The sequence below is a fragment of the Homo sapiens genome, chromosome 8, assembly GCF_000001405.40.
Source record: "Homo sapiens chromosome 8, GRCh38.p14 Primary Assembly".
NCBI lineage: Eukaryota > Metazoa > Chordata > Mammalia > Primates > Hominidae > Homo > Homo sapiens.
The window spans coordinates 79,639,334-79,654,560 of NC_000008.11; the positions used below are offsets into that span (position 1 = coordinate 79,639,334).

Below are 15,227 nucleotides of genomic sequence, written 5' to 3' on the forward strand. Positions count from 1 at the left end.
CAAATACTTGAAAAATGGTGGTGCACCACAGAGAATGGCCTAATCATGGGTAGCTTCAGACTTCAAACAAGGATCAGTGGGCTAAAACCAGAGAGATGGAGTTTGGGACTCAAAGAATGCTCATCTGAAATTGAGGGCTGACCAGCGAGGTTCTTTTAAAAATCATTGCATTTTACTAAATTGTGAGTTCTGTAATTATAAATGTCCTAGCAGGTGCTAGCTGTCATCTTTTCTATTATAAATTATACTATTTTATGTTATAATTTGTATTATACAGGCTTAAAACATAAGGGTCTGATAATCTGCTTATCTTTAATACATAAGCCACTGATAGAAAATAAGTGGCTAACCATTCTTCAGTTCTTTTTTTAATTGACAAAAATTGTATATGTTTGCGGTGTATGGCATATTTTGAAATATGTATACATTAGAGAATGGCTAAGTGAAGCAAATTCACATATGCATTACCTCACACACCTGTCATTTATTTGTGATGAGAACAAAAAATCTACTCTTTCAGTGATTTTCAAGAATACAGTACATTGTTATTAACAATAGTCAGCATGGTGTACAATAAGTCTTCTGCGGCCGGGCGTGGTGGCTCACGCCTATAATCCCAGCACTTTGGGAGGCCAAGGCTGGCAGATCACGAGGTCAGGAGTTCGAGACCAGCCTGACCAACATGCTGAAACCTTGCCTCTACTAAAAATAGAAAAATTAGCTGAGTGTGGTGGTAAGCGCCTGTAGTCCCAGCTACTCAGGAGGCTGAGGCAGGAGAATTGCTTGAACCTGGGAGGCGGAGGTTGCAGTGAGTCGAGATAGTGCCACTGCACTCCAGCCTGGCAAAAGAGGGAAACTCCGTCTCAATAATAAGTCTCTTGCATTTGTTCTTCCTGTTTAACTGAAATTATGTATTCTTTGATCAACATCTCCCCAGTCTCCACCCCTAACCCCTGGTAACCACAATTCTACTCTGCTTCCGTGAGTTCAACTTTATGAATAGTCCACATGTAAGTGAGATCATGTGGTATTTGTCTTTCTGTGCCTAGCTTATTTCACTTAGCATAGTGTCCTCCAGGTTCACCCATGTTGTCAAAAATGACAGGATTTCCCCCAACTTTTTTAAGGCTGAACAGTATTCCATGTGTATGTGTATAAATTAGATTAGTAGATGTTGCCACTCCCTCCTCCACCACAGTGGCTCTATCCCTGGCTCCTGGCTCCAGCCGAGTACACTAGAGGAGGATATTCTAAACAGCAACAACACAGGAGCAAAGACATTACAATGGGGTGTTGTCTTATTGCCCCCATTAGACTGTAAGCATCTTGAAGACAAGGACCCCCATCACAGAGTGATGTTGTCATCCCTGGAGTGGGCACTGTGCATGATTGATGACTGGAAGCAATGAACATACAGAAGGGCAAAACAGAAATCAGCAGGATGCTTTGCATTTCAGCATTGACTTTGCCAAATATGCCCAACTGTTCAGGGAGTTACATTGGTTCTAACGAAGCTCCTGTGATTCCTAAGCACAGGAATGGTGATAATATATATAATGGTGCATGCATATATACGCATATCTAGATAATGATATCTCATTATATGTGAGAACTGAAGAACTCCGTTATGTTTCTCGTCTAACCAAAAAGGGCCTACAGCTACGATAATTTCCAAACAAATAAATCTGTGCTACTTGATTTTCATGCAAAGCTCATATTTGTTCAAAAGGAAAATAAAGCTTAATTTAAAATCAATTTAGGCTATTTTTATCTAAGTATGCTTACCGTTATTCAACTCCCTGCAGATATTGTCAAATTTCTCAATATGGTAAATATTTATTCTGTTAAAATATATCCATAGTTACACTAAAGACAGAGAGGTCTTATATGTTCTAAACAACATAGAGCAAATGCTCATAAACAGCATTTTATTCCTATCTCCCGGAATAACAACGCTACTTCCAATTGCTGGAATCTAAATTATTAAAATAAACCCATGCTGCAAGCTTTGTATGCTTAACATTCTCAAATGTTCACTTTTCAGATATGGAAGTGAAGCAAATCAACAAACGTGCCTCTGGCCAGGCTTTTGAGCTGATCTTGAAGCCACCATCTCCTATCTCAGAAGCCCCACGAACTTTAGCTTCTCCAAAGAAGAAAGACCTGTCCCTGGAGGAGATCCAGAAGAAACTGGAGGCTGCAGAGGAAAGAAGAAAGGTAACTTTTTCCATAGGTTTTCCTTCTCTCTCTCCCTCCCCTGCTCCTCCCTCTCACACACTCGGGCACACATGCACGCACACACACACACACACACACACACACACACACACACACACACATACAGAGAGCAATGACAGCTGAACCTGTGCCATGCCAACATGTATAGGTTTTCAGTAGACACAGAGCCAGGCTAGTTGGGGTAAAAACTGTAAGATAGATGCTAATTTTAGGCTAGCCAAACCAGAGCTCTCAGAAATCCAAAGAGCTTCAGTGCTCTAGTGCCCCTTCCCGTATATTGAATCCCCTTATTATAAAAGCCTCCCTTCCCTAGACCATCAGGCAGAAGCACTGTAGAGAAAACACAGCCCTGGCGAACTCCAGTGGTGGGGAGGGGAAGAAGTGCTGCTTCCTCCCTCTCAGGATCTGTGTCACCCCCTTTGTCAGGCGTGGTTTTCCTTGGAATTACAAATTACCAGATCTTCCCTCCAAGATCTTTCCTGCCCAGGGTAAGGGCCAAGAGCTTGCCCCTTTCCTCTTCAGAGTCCCACTGCCTGCCCTGGAAGTTGGTCCTTCCAAGATCAGGACCTTCTCTGAGTTCTTTGAATATGTTCTTTATCTTTTTCTAAGACTTGATGGGGATTTTTCTCTTTTTGCCATTGGTCCCTGCTTATATTAAAGAGCTTTCCTTTTGCCAAATCTTTACTTTTCCATAATCACATGGCTAAGAAGAGCCAAGGGTATTATTTGAGAACACTTAGAAATCCTAGGGACTGTGTACACAAACAGAAGTTGTTTGAATGTGTCTGTTCCAACCATGTGGTTATGGTAGTTAATCCCATCAAGGTACTCACGATCATCCAAAAATGGAATTCTTTTATGTAATTCATCCCCACATTGTATTTCCCAATATTTTTTATGATATAATTTTAGAATCAGGTAATCACTAAGAACATGTTCCCTGCACAGTTTTATGATGTTTTCTCTAAAAAGTCAGCCAAAACTTTGGACACTTCTATGTTGGATAATTAAAAACAGAATGAAGATAATCCTCCTCCTAAAGATTGAATTCTCCAAGAGAGAATGCAGGACAAACACAGATGTGCTGTGTATAGTATATGTGCATATATACATGCATATATGTACACAAATATGTGTATTATCAAATAATGAGGCTCAAACATTAGAAATCCTTAGATTAAATTTTCTAAACAAGAAAACACTAATCTTTGTAGTTGAAAAAAAATCCTCCTATGATATGTAATATGCTGATCTCAATTTTCACCTAAGAGTGATGTTCTCCAAATGTCCGATGAGCATGTCATATATATATATATGAATTTTTATATATATAATTACAATGGTAATTGGTATATAGAGATATCTATATTATAGATATATATAGCTATCTCTATATATTACATATACCAATTATAGATATAAATATAACAATGGTAACTGGTGTATATGTGATGTGTATATATGTATATGTATACCATAATTATATATTAATATTGTATATATGCCATAATTATATATTAATATTGGTATATATACACCATGATTATATATTAATATTGGTGTGTGTATGTGTGTGTGTATATATATATATATATATAAAATACTAGTTATCATTGTTCTAGATTTAAAAAACAGGAACCTGAGCTACTAACTCGACTATATATATATATATATATACAGGAAGTTGCTTTAAAACATTTTTATCAGCTTTTTTATTGTTATTTTTAGCTTTATTCTCATAGTAAAGCTAAAATAAATTATTCAACATTATCAAAACTTTGCTGCCAGCAGATGTAAGCAATACCTAAAACAGTGGAGAGCATGTTGCACCCAAAGCAGTTTAAGCTCTGACCCAAGCACTGGCATCTTATAGGCACTGGGTAGAGATAAGAGTCATAGGTCGACATATATTGAGATGCTATGACTTGATTAGAATATGGAGTCAGTGACTGAGGTGAAATTAAAACTCAAACCACAATTCAACATCCTGATTTAGGATGTTGCTGGTGTTTCTAGGTACTACACTTAATTTGAAAGAAATTATTGAGGATAAAAAAAGAACTGGGATCAACAAAATTAACTAGGTGTTCTTATAAGAGTCCCTGAGGTTACTAATTAATGAAACTGATAAAGCTCCTGCACCCTGACAGCAAGAAATTATCAATGATTATACATTTAAACAATTGAATTGAACTAGAAACTGGCCACATGGTTAAAAGACATTTACAAATGTAATCATCCAGTGTTATGATGCCCAGAAAAAAAAAATTCCTTAGAATGCTTTAAAAGCCGTATTCCATCACCTTTCCAGTTATTTGTTAAACATTTTGTAATGCAAAAATAACCATATAGATTATGCCCTAGTGGTCGGGTTTTATTTTTAGTTTTTTATGGTTTTTTTTTGTTAATGGTAGAGTTTTAATTAAAAGAAAATACAACTAATTAGCAGAAAGTGCCAACTTTAAAAAATCACTAATTGATTTTATTCTATTGGGTTATACTGACTTAATTAGCACTAATTTAAAGAACTATTAATTATCTTTAAAGAGTCTTTAGCAAGTGCATATATCTCAGTAATTATGTTAGTAAGGACATGCCTATAACCAAAACCCAACTCAACTAGTTAAAACAAAAAGCAAATATGTGACTAAAAAGTCTAGGAGTGGCTACAGCATCAGGAACAGCTGGATCCAGGGATCACAGTATTATCAGAAAACTTTCTTTCAGTGCCTGTCATCTCTTCCTGCATTTAACTGGTTTCATTATCAAGAAAGTTTAATTTCAATAGTCAGTTCCAAATTATTTTTCTCACAACTTAGCAACTCCAGCAGAAACAGAGCTTCTTTTTCCCAATAGTTTAACAAAAGTCCCGAAATTGAGTCTCAATGGCCTGGCCTGGATCACAGGCCCAACCCAGAACCAATCATTATGGCCAAGAGGATGTAGTAGTTTGATATGCTAGCCTGAATCACATGCCCACCACTGACCTGCAAAGGATTTTAGGTAAGATCCCTGGGGTAAGAATTGTGGAGGGGTAGTTCCCCAGAAGAAAATCGAGGTGTTCTCACAAGAGGAAGGGGTAATGGATCTTAAATAAACAAAACTATAGATGTCCACATTTTCTATCTATAAATGTTTAGTGTTACTATAACAATTAGAATAATTATTTAGTTCATACACTATTCAATTTGTATCTCCCTTCTGTTGCCCTGTTGCCGTTATTTTCTTACAGATAGAATGAAAAATATTAATCTAGGCAGCTCTGTGAAACAGTACTGTCCAAGGAATATAACGTGAGCCAGGCCGGGTGTGGTGGCTCATGGCTATAATCCCAGCACTTTGGGACGCCGAGGCAGGTGGATCACCTGAGATCAGGAGTTCAAGACCAGCCTGGCCAACATGGCAAAACCCCATCTCTACTAAAAATACAAAAATTCGCAGGGCATAGTGGCGAGTGCCTGTAATCCCAGCTACTGGGGAGGCTGAGGCAGAAGAATTGCTTGAACCCAGGAGGTGGAGGTTGCAGTGAACCAAGATGGTACCATTGCACTCCAGCCTGGATGACAGAGCAAGACTCCATCTCAAAAAAAAAAAAGAAAGAAATGTAATGGGAGCCATATGTGTATTTTTAAATGTTCTAGAAGCCACATTTTTTAAAATAAAAGAAATATGAAATGAATTTTAGTAAAATATTCTTCACCCAATATATTCAAAACATTATTTCAATATGCATGTAATCAATATAGAAGTATTAATGAGCTGTTTCACATTATTTTATTCATACTAAGTGTTTGAAATCCAGTGTGTATTTTACGTTTACAACTCATTTCAATTCATGTTAGACATATTCCTAGTGCCTAGTAGCCAAAGGCAGCCAGTAGCACAGATACGGATATTAAAACAGAAAACACCTAGTGAATAATGGGGAAATTTTAGGCCTAAGTTTTTAAAATCCATACCAGATAATTATTCAGATTCAAATTTACTTTGTTTTTTCATATATATTCTTTAAAAATTACATTAATATGGGAACTCAGAAAGTTCAAAAGAAATTTCCATTCTATGGTTTTAGTCTTTACATTGTCAGAACTAATGCAAGTGTGAAGTTTAGGATGTACTGTAAGTAATAGGATCTTCTAAATCTCATGCCTTCTTCAGCTACCTACTCTGTTTCTATTTCAGTTCCTCACTGTGGGGAGGGGACTTCTCTGAACCTAGGTTTCATCTCTCACTCTCGTTCATGGTAAACAGGTTTTCCTTTGTGGCACCTAGCACAATTAGTAAGTAATTAGTATTTACTGGCATATTAGTATATATATGCATATGTATTTATTTAACCCTATGTCTTCTACTAGATTATAAACTCCATGAAGATAGAACTTGTCTTTTGTTTAATAGTGCTTGGCAATAGTTATTACTGTAAACATTTTTTTTCTTTCTTATTCAACTCCTGTTAGTCATTGCCTGAGTACTACAAATGTTTTTAAGTAAATTAATAAATAATAACTTTCAGGGCCAAATGTGAAAGCGGCAATATATAGCTTGTTTTGATTTTTTATTCCACCCTCCCATCCTAAAACAATTATAGTCACTAAGTTTCCAAATGACATCTGAAATTGCACTAAGGAAATCCTAGTCTGGGCAAAATCACTCAGTCAACAGATATTTATCAAGCACTTACTATTTGGCAGGCCCTGTTCTAGACACAGGGGATACTCATCAAACTTACATTCCAGTGGGGGAGAAAGAGCTAATAAATACATACACAGCATATTAGATGATGCAAAATTAGCAGGACAAAGAGAACTGGGGGTGTGGGGGTGAAAGAAGCTAATATTATATGTTATTATTACTATATATAATAATATAATTATTGGATAGTCAAAAAAAAACCTCTTGAATAAGACATTTGAAAAGAAGCACAAAGGTAGCAAGGGAGTAGGGCGGGCAGCTCTTCTCTGGGACCTGAACATTCAAAATGATGAGAGCAGCAGGTGCGGAGGCCCTGAAATAGGAATGTATGAGGTGTGTTTGAGAAATAACATGGAGGCCAGCGTGGCTGAAGCTGAGAGCAGGGGGAGAGTGGTAGCAACTGAAGTCAGAGGTCACAATTAAGGACTTTGACTTCACATGAAATGGGAGATCATGAAGGATAATAAAGCCATTTCACTACTTTATGTGAATCACAGCATCTTTTTAAAGAAGTATCCTTTTTTAAAGGGGGAGATGACTAGAAAAATAAATAGTGTTAGATAAATAGAGAAAACAGGAAAACATTCTAGACTAAGACAGTGATTCCAGAACTAAGGATCCACAGAGGCGAGAATGCAGAAAGTGTAGGTTTCAGAGCAGTGGGTAGACTAAGGGTTTGGACTAGTGGATTTGGATAGGGAGTTGGAGAGTAGCGAGGTGGGATTAGGGAGGGCTGTGAATGCCAGGTTAGTGTGCAAACTCCATTATATAAGCAGTAAGGAGTCACTACAGACTTTTCAAAAATACATACATGTTCCACCTGGCCCACGGGTTAGCAACATTTTCGTTGCCCTGGACCCATTTCCTTCCCAATAAGTTACAGGTTTGTGAAGATTCTACCTAGCAAACATATTACTTTTAAATAACTATTAATAAATTATCTTACCATGATTATAATCAAAGGAATCTGTAATTGCTAATTATTTCTGATTATTAAAAGATAAGCAGTATTGCACTAAATTGACATAATTCTAACTCAAAGTAAATATACAGATAGACATGGCTATAGATGTGAAATATGATTTCTGTTAGGGCTTTTTAAATTTAAAAAAACTTACGAGTTCTCCTCCCTCCCCCTACCCTTAATACCTTGAAGGCCTCTTTGTGGGACTTCAGGGACCCCTTCAGGGAACTATGACCTAGGCTGTATTTGGGGGGCTTTCTGGGTTTATAGCTGGAAGGCTGCCACAGAGGCATCGCCACTTGGGCTCAGATTCACTTTGTGTTCAATGTTTTGGCAATGTCCCCACCTCCCCATTCCATCTGTTGACACTATTGCAGCACTGACCATCTGGTTACTAGGTTGGAGGATACTCCCTCGGGCTCCTTTGAACCAGAATTAGTGCTCCAGTGATTAGATAATAGAAGAAGCTTGTCATAAAAAGAATAAGCCCTTTCCCTGCTTTTTCTCCATTCTTTGATTATCGCTGGTAGTCAGTGATGATCATCTCTATGAGTCTATATCAATCTCATCAGGTCAGTTTGAACCTCATCTCTTGAAATCAAAGTTTCCATAATGCAACTGACCCACAAGGGTGAAATGACATGAATGCTTTAACCATCCATTTATCATTTATTCATTCATTCAACCAACATGTATTTAGCAAGAGGCAGCAGAGTTAGCATAACTATACATCCCAGTTGGCCCAGGACAACTCCAGCTAACTCTCGTTGTTTTGATACCATTATTAATTATTTCTCTTTACTCTCATAAGTGTTCCACTTTGGACAATCAATTACATGAGCATCCTTAGCAGGGCACAGTGTTTAAGGGCATCTTTAAAATATTGTCTTTAAGAACATGTGGTTAAGAGAATGTCTGTGTTCAAATCCTGGTTCCACCACTTAAAAGCTGTGTGACCTCAAGCAAGTGACTTAATCTCCGTATGTCCTCCTTTGTCAATCTGTAAAATGAGACTAGTAATAGAACTTATGGAGTTAGTGTGAGAATTGGAAGGTTACTCTACAATAAAGACATATAACCAGCATGGTAAAAGGGTTAGCAATTACTATGTGAAGAAGCATCCAGTTTCTGACCTCACAGAGATTATCTAGCAAACTCATGATTTTATAAAGAAAAGAAGTTTCTCATCAACAGAGACTGAAATGCTACCATACAATATACGTTGCTTTTTTTTTTTTTTTTTTTTTGAGACGGAGTCTCGCTCTGCCACTCAGGCTCAGGCTGGAGTGCAGTGTTGCCACCTTGGCTAATTGCAACCTCCACCTCCCAGGTTCAAGCAATTCTCCTGCCTCAGTCTCCCAAGTAGCTGGGATTATAGGCACCCACCACCACACCCAGCTAATTTTTATATTTTTAGTAGAGACAAGGTTTTGTCATGTTGGCCAGACTGGTCTCAAACTCCTGACCTCAGGTGATCCACCCACCTCAGCCTTCCGAAGTGCTGGCATTACAGGCATGAGCCACCATGCCCGGCCAATATTTTTAAATATTATAAAATATTCTTTATCAAATTGCATAGAAGAAAAGACAGTTTGATAGGTAATAGATATATAAATAGGTCAGGCCAACTAAAAGTGTCCTGAAAAAATTAATATTGTGAAAACAAAAGGATTTTAATGACATTGATAAAATCTCACCCTAAAAGAGATTAAATTAAAAATCACCCTACTTGAACCAGTTCAGTGAGATTTCATTAGCATGCTCTCATTACTGGCATAATCAGCTTCAAAGTCACTAAGCCTCTGAAAGGAAGATGTGTTGCTTATTCTTAATAAAATGGCATAAAAGTAGATCATTAGTCACCAAACATGATAGACTTACCTTTTCCATTTGTTGGCATCTCACATTGTAGATGGCAATTAAAATGGAATCCAGGGAAAGAGGGGGTGGTTTGTATAGCAATGGATTATGAAACAAAGTACTGGATTATTCACCGCTTGACATTCAGGAAACATTCTGCTCCTTACAGAATATGGCACGTGGGCCACAGAATCTTCCGTGTGCTACCTTCTCGGTGAAGAAGAGCACCCCCAAGTTTCTTTTCCTAGGAGCTAACCACAGTAAACCCATTACACACTTTAGCAGAAGGGCTCATTCTAAAGGTCTTAGGATTTTAATCATTTTAAATTTCCTGTTATGCTTCAGGCTCTTCAACACAAAGTGAATATTGTACTCTTTGGTTTTACATAATTATATTCAATTGTCATATTTCAACAGGACATTATTTGTGACTTTAGATGGGTCAATAATGATTTTCATTGTCAGCAGTAAAGTCAATAATTACAGACACATCACCTACCCTACTTGTGTAAAAGCATTTTTTGGTACTAGGAGATTTAGTGTCTGATCAACGGTCCTGGATAGCAAGTAATATATCCCCCAAATAATGAAAAGTGACAAGAAAATAAATATGTTTACTTCAGAAATAAATGGAAAATTAGTGCTATCTAAAATGTAGTCTTAAGTCTCATCTGTGTACATAAAGTAAAATGAGTTTTATGTACTAGTTACTCAAATTTATCTTCCACTCCATTTGTATAGTAATTAAACTCTTACACTCAGTAATATACAAATTGGTAATTAACCTCTTTGCAAAATGTTAAAGTGTTCCTAAATGTACAATAAGTCTCCTTTCCTGTCTCATTGTTTTTCGCTTCACGTACCTCTCATGTAATTATTTCAATGATTGAGTTCAGTGTGAGGAGGTTTATGCCTAGAAAAGGTGCTCACCAATAACGTGCCTCAGTTCCCATAATAGCAAGATCGAGAAGGTTCTTTAGTCTCCCGGAACGTCACGTTGAACATCTCAGTTCTATATTTTGCCTTGACATTTGCATTATATCAGCTGATCATTGTCTTGCCCTAATTTTCCCTTTTAATATTTTAGTGACCTTCTATGTTAGGTACAGGTTATTTAGAAGTGTTCCTCCAAGGCCAGATACTTTTTCCTTGAACAATTTATTTTTAACAACTTTTAGCGATTTTCTCACTTCACCACCCTCCGTTTCATAAGTCCACGCAATCACAATTCCTTTCTGCTAATCTGCACAGTCAAGATATAAAGTAAGAATACCTATTTGAACATGTAGTGAGAACTTTACTTCTCTGCCAAAAATGAAGGAAAATGCTGCCACTTTTGTATGTCACATGTTTTTTATTCTACAGCCTCACTCACTTCATGTCATGTTTTAGTGCAGTTTTCTGGACTAACTGCTTATTTTCTCATTGATTAAACTGCCTATTTGCTCATTGGAATTAGAGCCAATTTTTTTCCTTGAGGGTCTGACTAGAAGATTAAACTATGTTCATGTGAGAATCAATTTCTACCTAAGAAATGAGTTAGAGGAGTTATGGGCAGCAATATCTATCTGGATGCTACACTGTGAAAAAGGAAGCGAGGTTATGCCTTTCTACCCCAATGGGGTAGCAGAGACCTCAGGAACTGAGGTAGATGCCCCCCTGGTTATTAGCGCCCCTGAATAATTTGTTCAAAAATTGACTGCTGGACAGGTGTCGTGTTGCACGCCTGTAGTCCCAGCTGTGCAGGAGGCTGAGGCAAGAGGATCTCTTGAGCCCAGGAATTTGAGGCTATAGTAAACTAAGGTCACACCACTATACTCCAGCCTGAGCAACAAAGCAAGACCCTGTCTCTAAATTTAAAAAAAAATATTGAATGCTTATGAATAGAGACTAATATAGGAAGTCATAAGTATTTCCTTGGGATAGAATGCTTTCCACCATAATTGACTTGACATCCTGTATTTTTGTATGTGTGGACTTAAGTTTTAAATATTTGAAACACAGACAATTATTAAGTCCTGCAAATGTGTGAGTTAATAGTGGATATAACATTCCCTTCCAGGGTGTAAGAAAAGGTACCACAGAAGTGAGCAGCCCTGAAGCACAGCCTGGCCTAGTTTGGCAGGTCTCTGTGAGTTAGCAGCAGACTCACGTGACCACACTCTGTACTGCCTTCTGTTTCTGTTTCACCCCATTAATTGTGCTAAAGAAATGCACTTGACACCTATGCTGTGTAATCTCATTTAGCCCCAATAGCAACAAAAGTACTAACCCCATTAAATTGAGTCATTTCAAACTGAGCCAAATGTTGCACTCCAGTAAATGGAGTAGGCATTGGTTATAATGGGAATTCTCCATTATTCATAATGGAAACCACAGGAGTTTGTTCATGCAGATCAAATGTGTCCCACCAAGGCAAGAAGTATGGAAAAGTGGTGTTGCTGTATTACCTTGTAATTTCAAAGCCTTCCCGTCTGAATCTTATTTCCCTGCTGTTTCCTCTTGACTTTGGTTCTTTCACAAAGGAAAATTAAGAACACAAATATAAACATTAAGTTAAAACACAACTGAACAAAGTGCCAAACTTAATTGGAGCATCTGAAAATGAAACATTAGGCAGTTGCAGTGGCCTCTTGATAATAATTCACAGTAACTCTCTGTAAGCTGATCCTGTCTGAAGAGCAGCAGGCACAAGGCCCCTGGCCATGAAGTCCATCTCAAAGGGCCAGGCTCAGCAAAGCAGGATGCAAACCCAGGCTTTCCAAATACCAGGTTGGGGCTCATGTCACTGTGCCACAGGAGCTTCTGTAGAAAGGCTACTTGAAAAAAGTGGCCATTAAAAATCCAGGTGGATCCTATCTAGGGCAGTGTTGGAAACACTGATCTATGGGAGGAGGAGCAGGAAGGAATTGTTTAACCACTGAGCAGAAATGTTACATTGCTACCTGCCTTTAGCAGCTGTGGCTGATGGGTACCAGTTGCTAAGAAGAGCATTACCTAACAGTGTATTAAGATAGAAAAATGATTTTAAAGCACGGCACTTAGAGAATGTTGAAGTTTTACTTTGCTTTATTTTGATTTGTTTGGTTTGACTTTGTCTCCTGGAGCATCCTCCATGGATTTCTGTTCATTACAAGAGAAACCTAGGGCTCTAACCCAATTCCTAATTCTTGGACACATTGCACCCTTGTTTTGTGATAATCCAGCCTTCTTCCTTGAGAAGGTTTGCTGGACTGGAGGTTACATGTATTGAATTTTCTAAAATGAAGGTGCAAAGCTGTCTCCTCTTATTTCTTTGTGGTGCTCACTTCACTGTGAGATTTCCTATCAATACAGCCCAAGTCAGTGGGCATGCATGAGGTGGAGATGAGGGAGTTAGGAAGGACTTGGACTCTCATCAACCATCAGGATCCCTGAATCCACTAACTGTTCATAATCAAAGAAGTTTGAACAAATACTTCACACACATGAAATTGCCAAAATTTTGCATTTGAGTTGTTATACCAGTAAGTCCAGTTGCCATCATCTCCTTGTCACAAGTGTCTTAAATTTTGCTTTTGATAATAATGATTACCACTCATTCAGTACTAACTTACTTGATATTAGACACTGCATTAAATACCTTGCAAACATTATTTTGTTTGATCCTGACAACCATATGAGATAGGTACTATTCTTATCCATTACCAAAAAAATTAATTTCATGAAGACTTTTCCCAGAGAGAGAAACTTTAAATATTTACACACACACCTCTCTCCCTGTAACAATTCCGTAGTCCTGATAACAGCAAATAAGCAAAGTCTGTGTAGGATGCTTTACCAACAGTCCCACCTAGAGGCAGGAGAGTGAACCAGCTAGAAAATATTTTATTCATATTTCTTCCAGAAAGGCTCCATTGGAGTTTGAACTCAATTTATGTTATAATTTTCTTATTATTTTTGTATTGGTTTTCCTGAAACCAATACAAAGTAAGAAAGCATTGGTTCCACTAAAAATGTCCTAAAACCAGCCAAGCACAGTGGCTCACACCTATAATCCCAGTACTTTGGGAGGCCGAGGCGGGTGGATCACTTAAGCCAGGAGTTCAAGACTAGCCTGGCCAACATGACGAAACCCCATCTCTACTAAAAATACAAAAATTAGCAGGGTGTGGTAGCACACACCTGTAATCTCAGCTACTCAGGAAGCTGAGACATGAGAATCGCTTGAACCTCAGAGGCAGAGATTACAGTGAGCAGAGATCACGCCACTGTACTTCTGCCTGGGTGACAGAGCGAGACTCTATCTAAAAAAAAATAAACACATAAATAGTAAAATGTCCTGAAACCATTATGGGGTTAAAGCAAGAGGCAGGGCTGGTTCCCAGGATTTTCTGTCTAATCTCCAGTGAGCCACAGACCTATTCCTGATCAACTTGAGAATAAACACATCAGTAAAGATGTGTAAGGCTGTCTGACTTTCCCATTTCTGTAGAATTTTATTTGAAGAGAAGTTTCTCCTTTCTCCAGGCCCCATATTGTTTATACAAAAAGACCTTTCCAGTAAATGTCCACAACCACTACCATCAACTAAAATGTTTTCCCACTAATGCTTTCAATGGTAATCAGTATTTAACAGGGCACTTAGGATTATTTTTTGATCAACCATTGTTTAGATATTCCCACTTATAATTACTCCTGTGAAGGATTGCCTCGGGGCATCAGCTGATCCTGAGAAATTATCCAGAAGCCATGAGTGTGTAATAATTTAGTCTTAAACCTAAATAGGTCAGTATTGGGTGGGACTTTTCTCAGCTGCATAATGGGGAGAATAAAAAGAATATGGAAAGAAGTTACGTAACACATCCTGGGTCACAAACAGAGGTAAGACTTGAACACAGGCCTGACATCAAAGCCCATGCCAGTATGACTTACAAAAGGTAGACTGGACTACCTGCATTTGAGTCACTAGTGATGCTTATCACTGGGCCTCACCAAAGAACCTTGGAATCAGAATCTTTGGAGGTAGATGCCAGGCACCTGCATTGTTATCAAGTGCTCCAGTGATTACCATTCACTGTACAGAGCCAAACAGACTCCTGATGCTGGAAGAAAATTACAGTGCTCAAAGTGCAGGGCAGGGTGTACATCTGGATCTAAATCACTGAGCAACCACAGGGTTTCAAGAGAGGGTCAAAACAAGGACTTTCTGCTCTCTGTGGCCAAGGGGACACTAAGTTTGCACTGTTCTCAGATCTCCAAAGAGACTTTGGTGTATGGGGGATAGGGAGGGGGGAAGGGGGTGTGAAATAAAAGGAGAAAGTGAATTTGATTATTTGATTGATGAAAATTGAAAAGCTTATTGTAGGGCCTAGCCTACAGTTGATGAAAAAACAATGGATCAGGAAGAAGATCAGAACTTGTCTCAGTCCTCAACTGTTTTCCTCAGGCTTTGGTTGAATATTGCCATCCTGTAATTCATTATAGCATTTTC

At 38.2% G+C, this 15,227-nt stretch overlaps 1 protein-coding gene across 3 annotated transcripts in view, besides 1 other annotated feature; it reads left to right on the forward strand.

Annotated features, from left to right (window-relative positions):
* Positions 1–15,227, forward strand: part of STMN2 (stathmin 2) — a 55,042-nt gene that overhangs the window by 28,217 nt on the left and 11,598 nt on the right. For all 3 annotated transcript variants that reach the window (NM_001199214.2, NM_007029.4, XM_005251142.3), the window contains one exon: positions 2,045–2,217. In NM_001199214.2, the coding sequence (NP_001186143.1) occupies positions 2,045–2,217 (173 nt within the window). The remainder of the gene's footprint in view (positions 1–2,044; positions 2,218–15,227) is intronic.
* Positions 6,402–6,551: an enhancer, noted in NCBI's record as "active region_27547". NCBI's record gives its function as "activates an Ori minimal core promoter by ATAC-STARR-seq in GM12878 lymphoblastoid cells {active_cell/tissue: GM12878}" and the evidence as "EXISTENCE:reporter gene assay evidence [ECO:0000049][PMID:35858748]".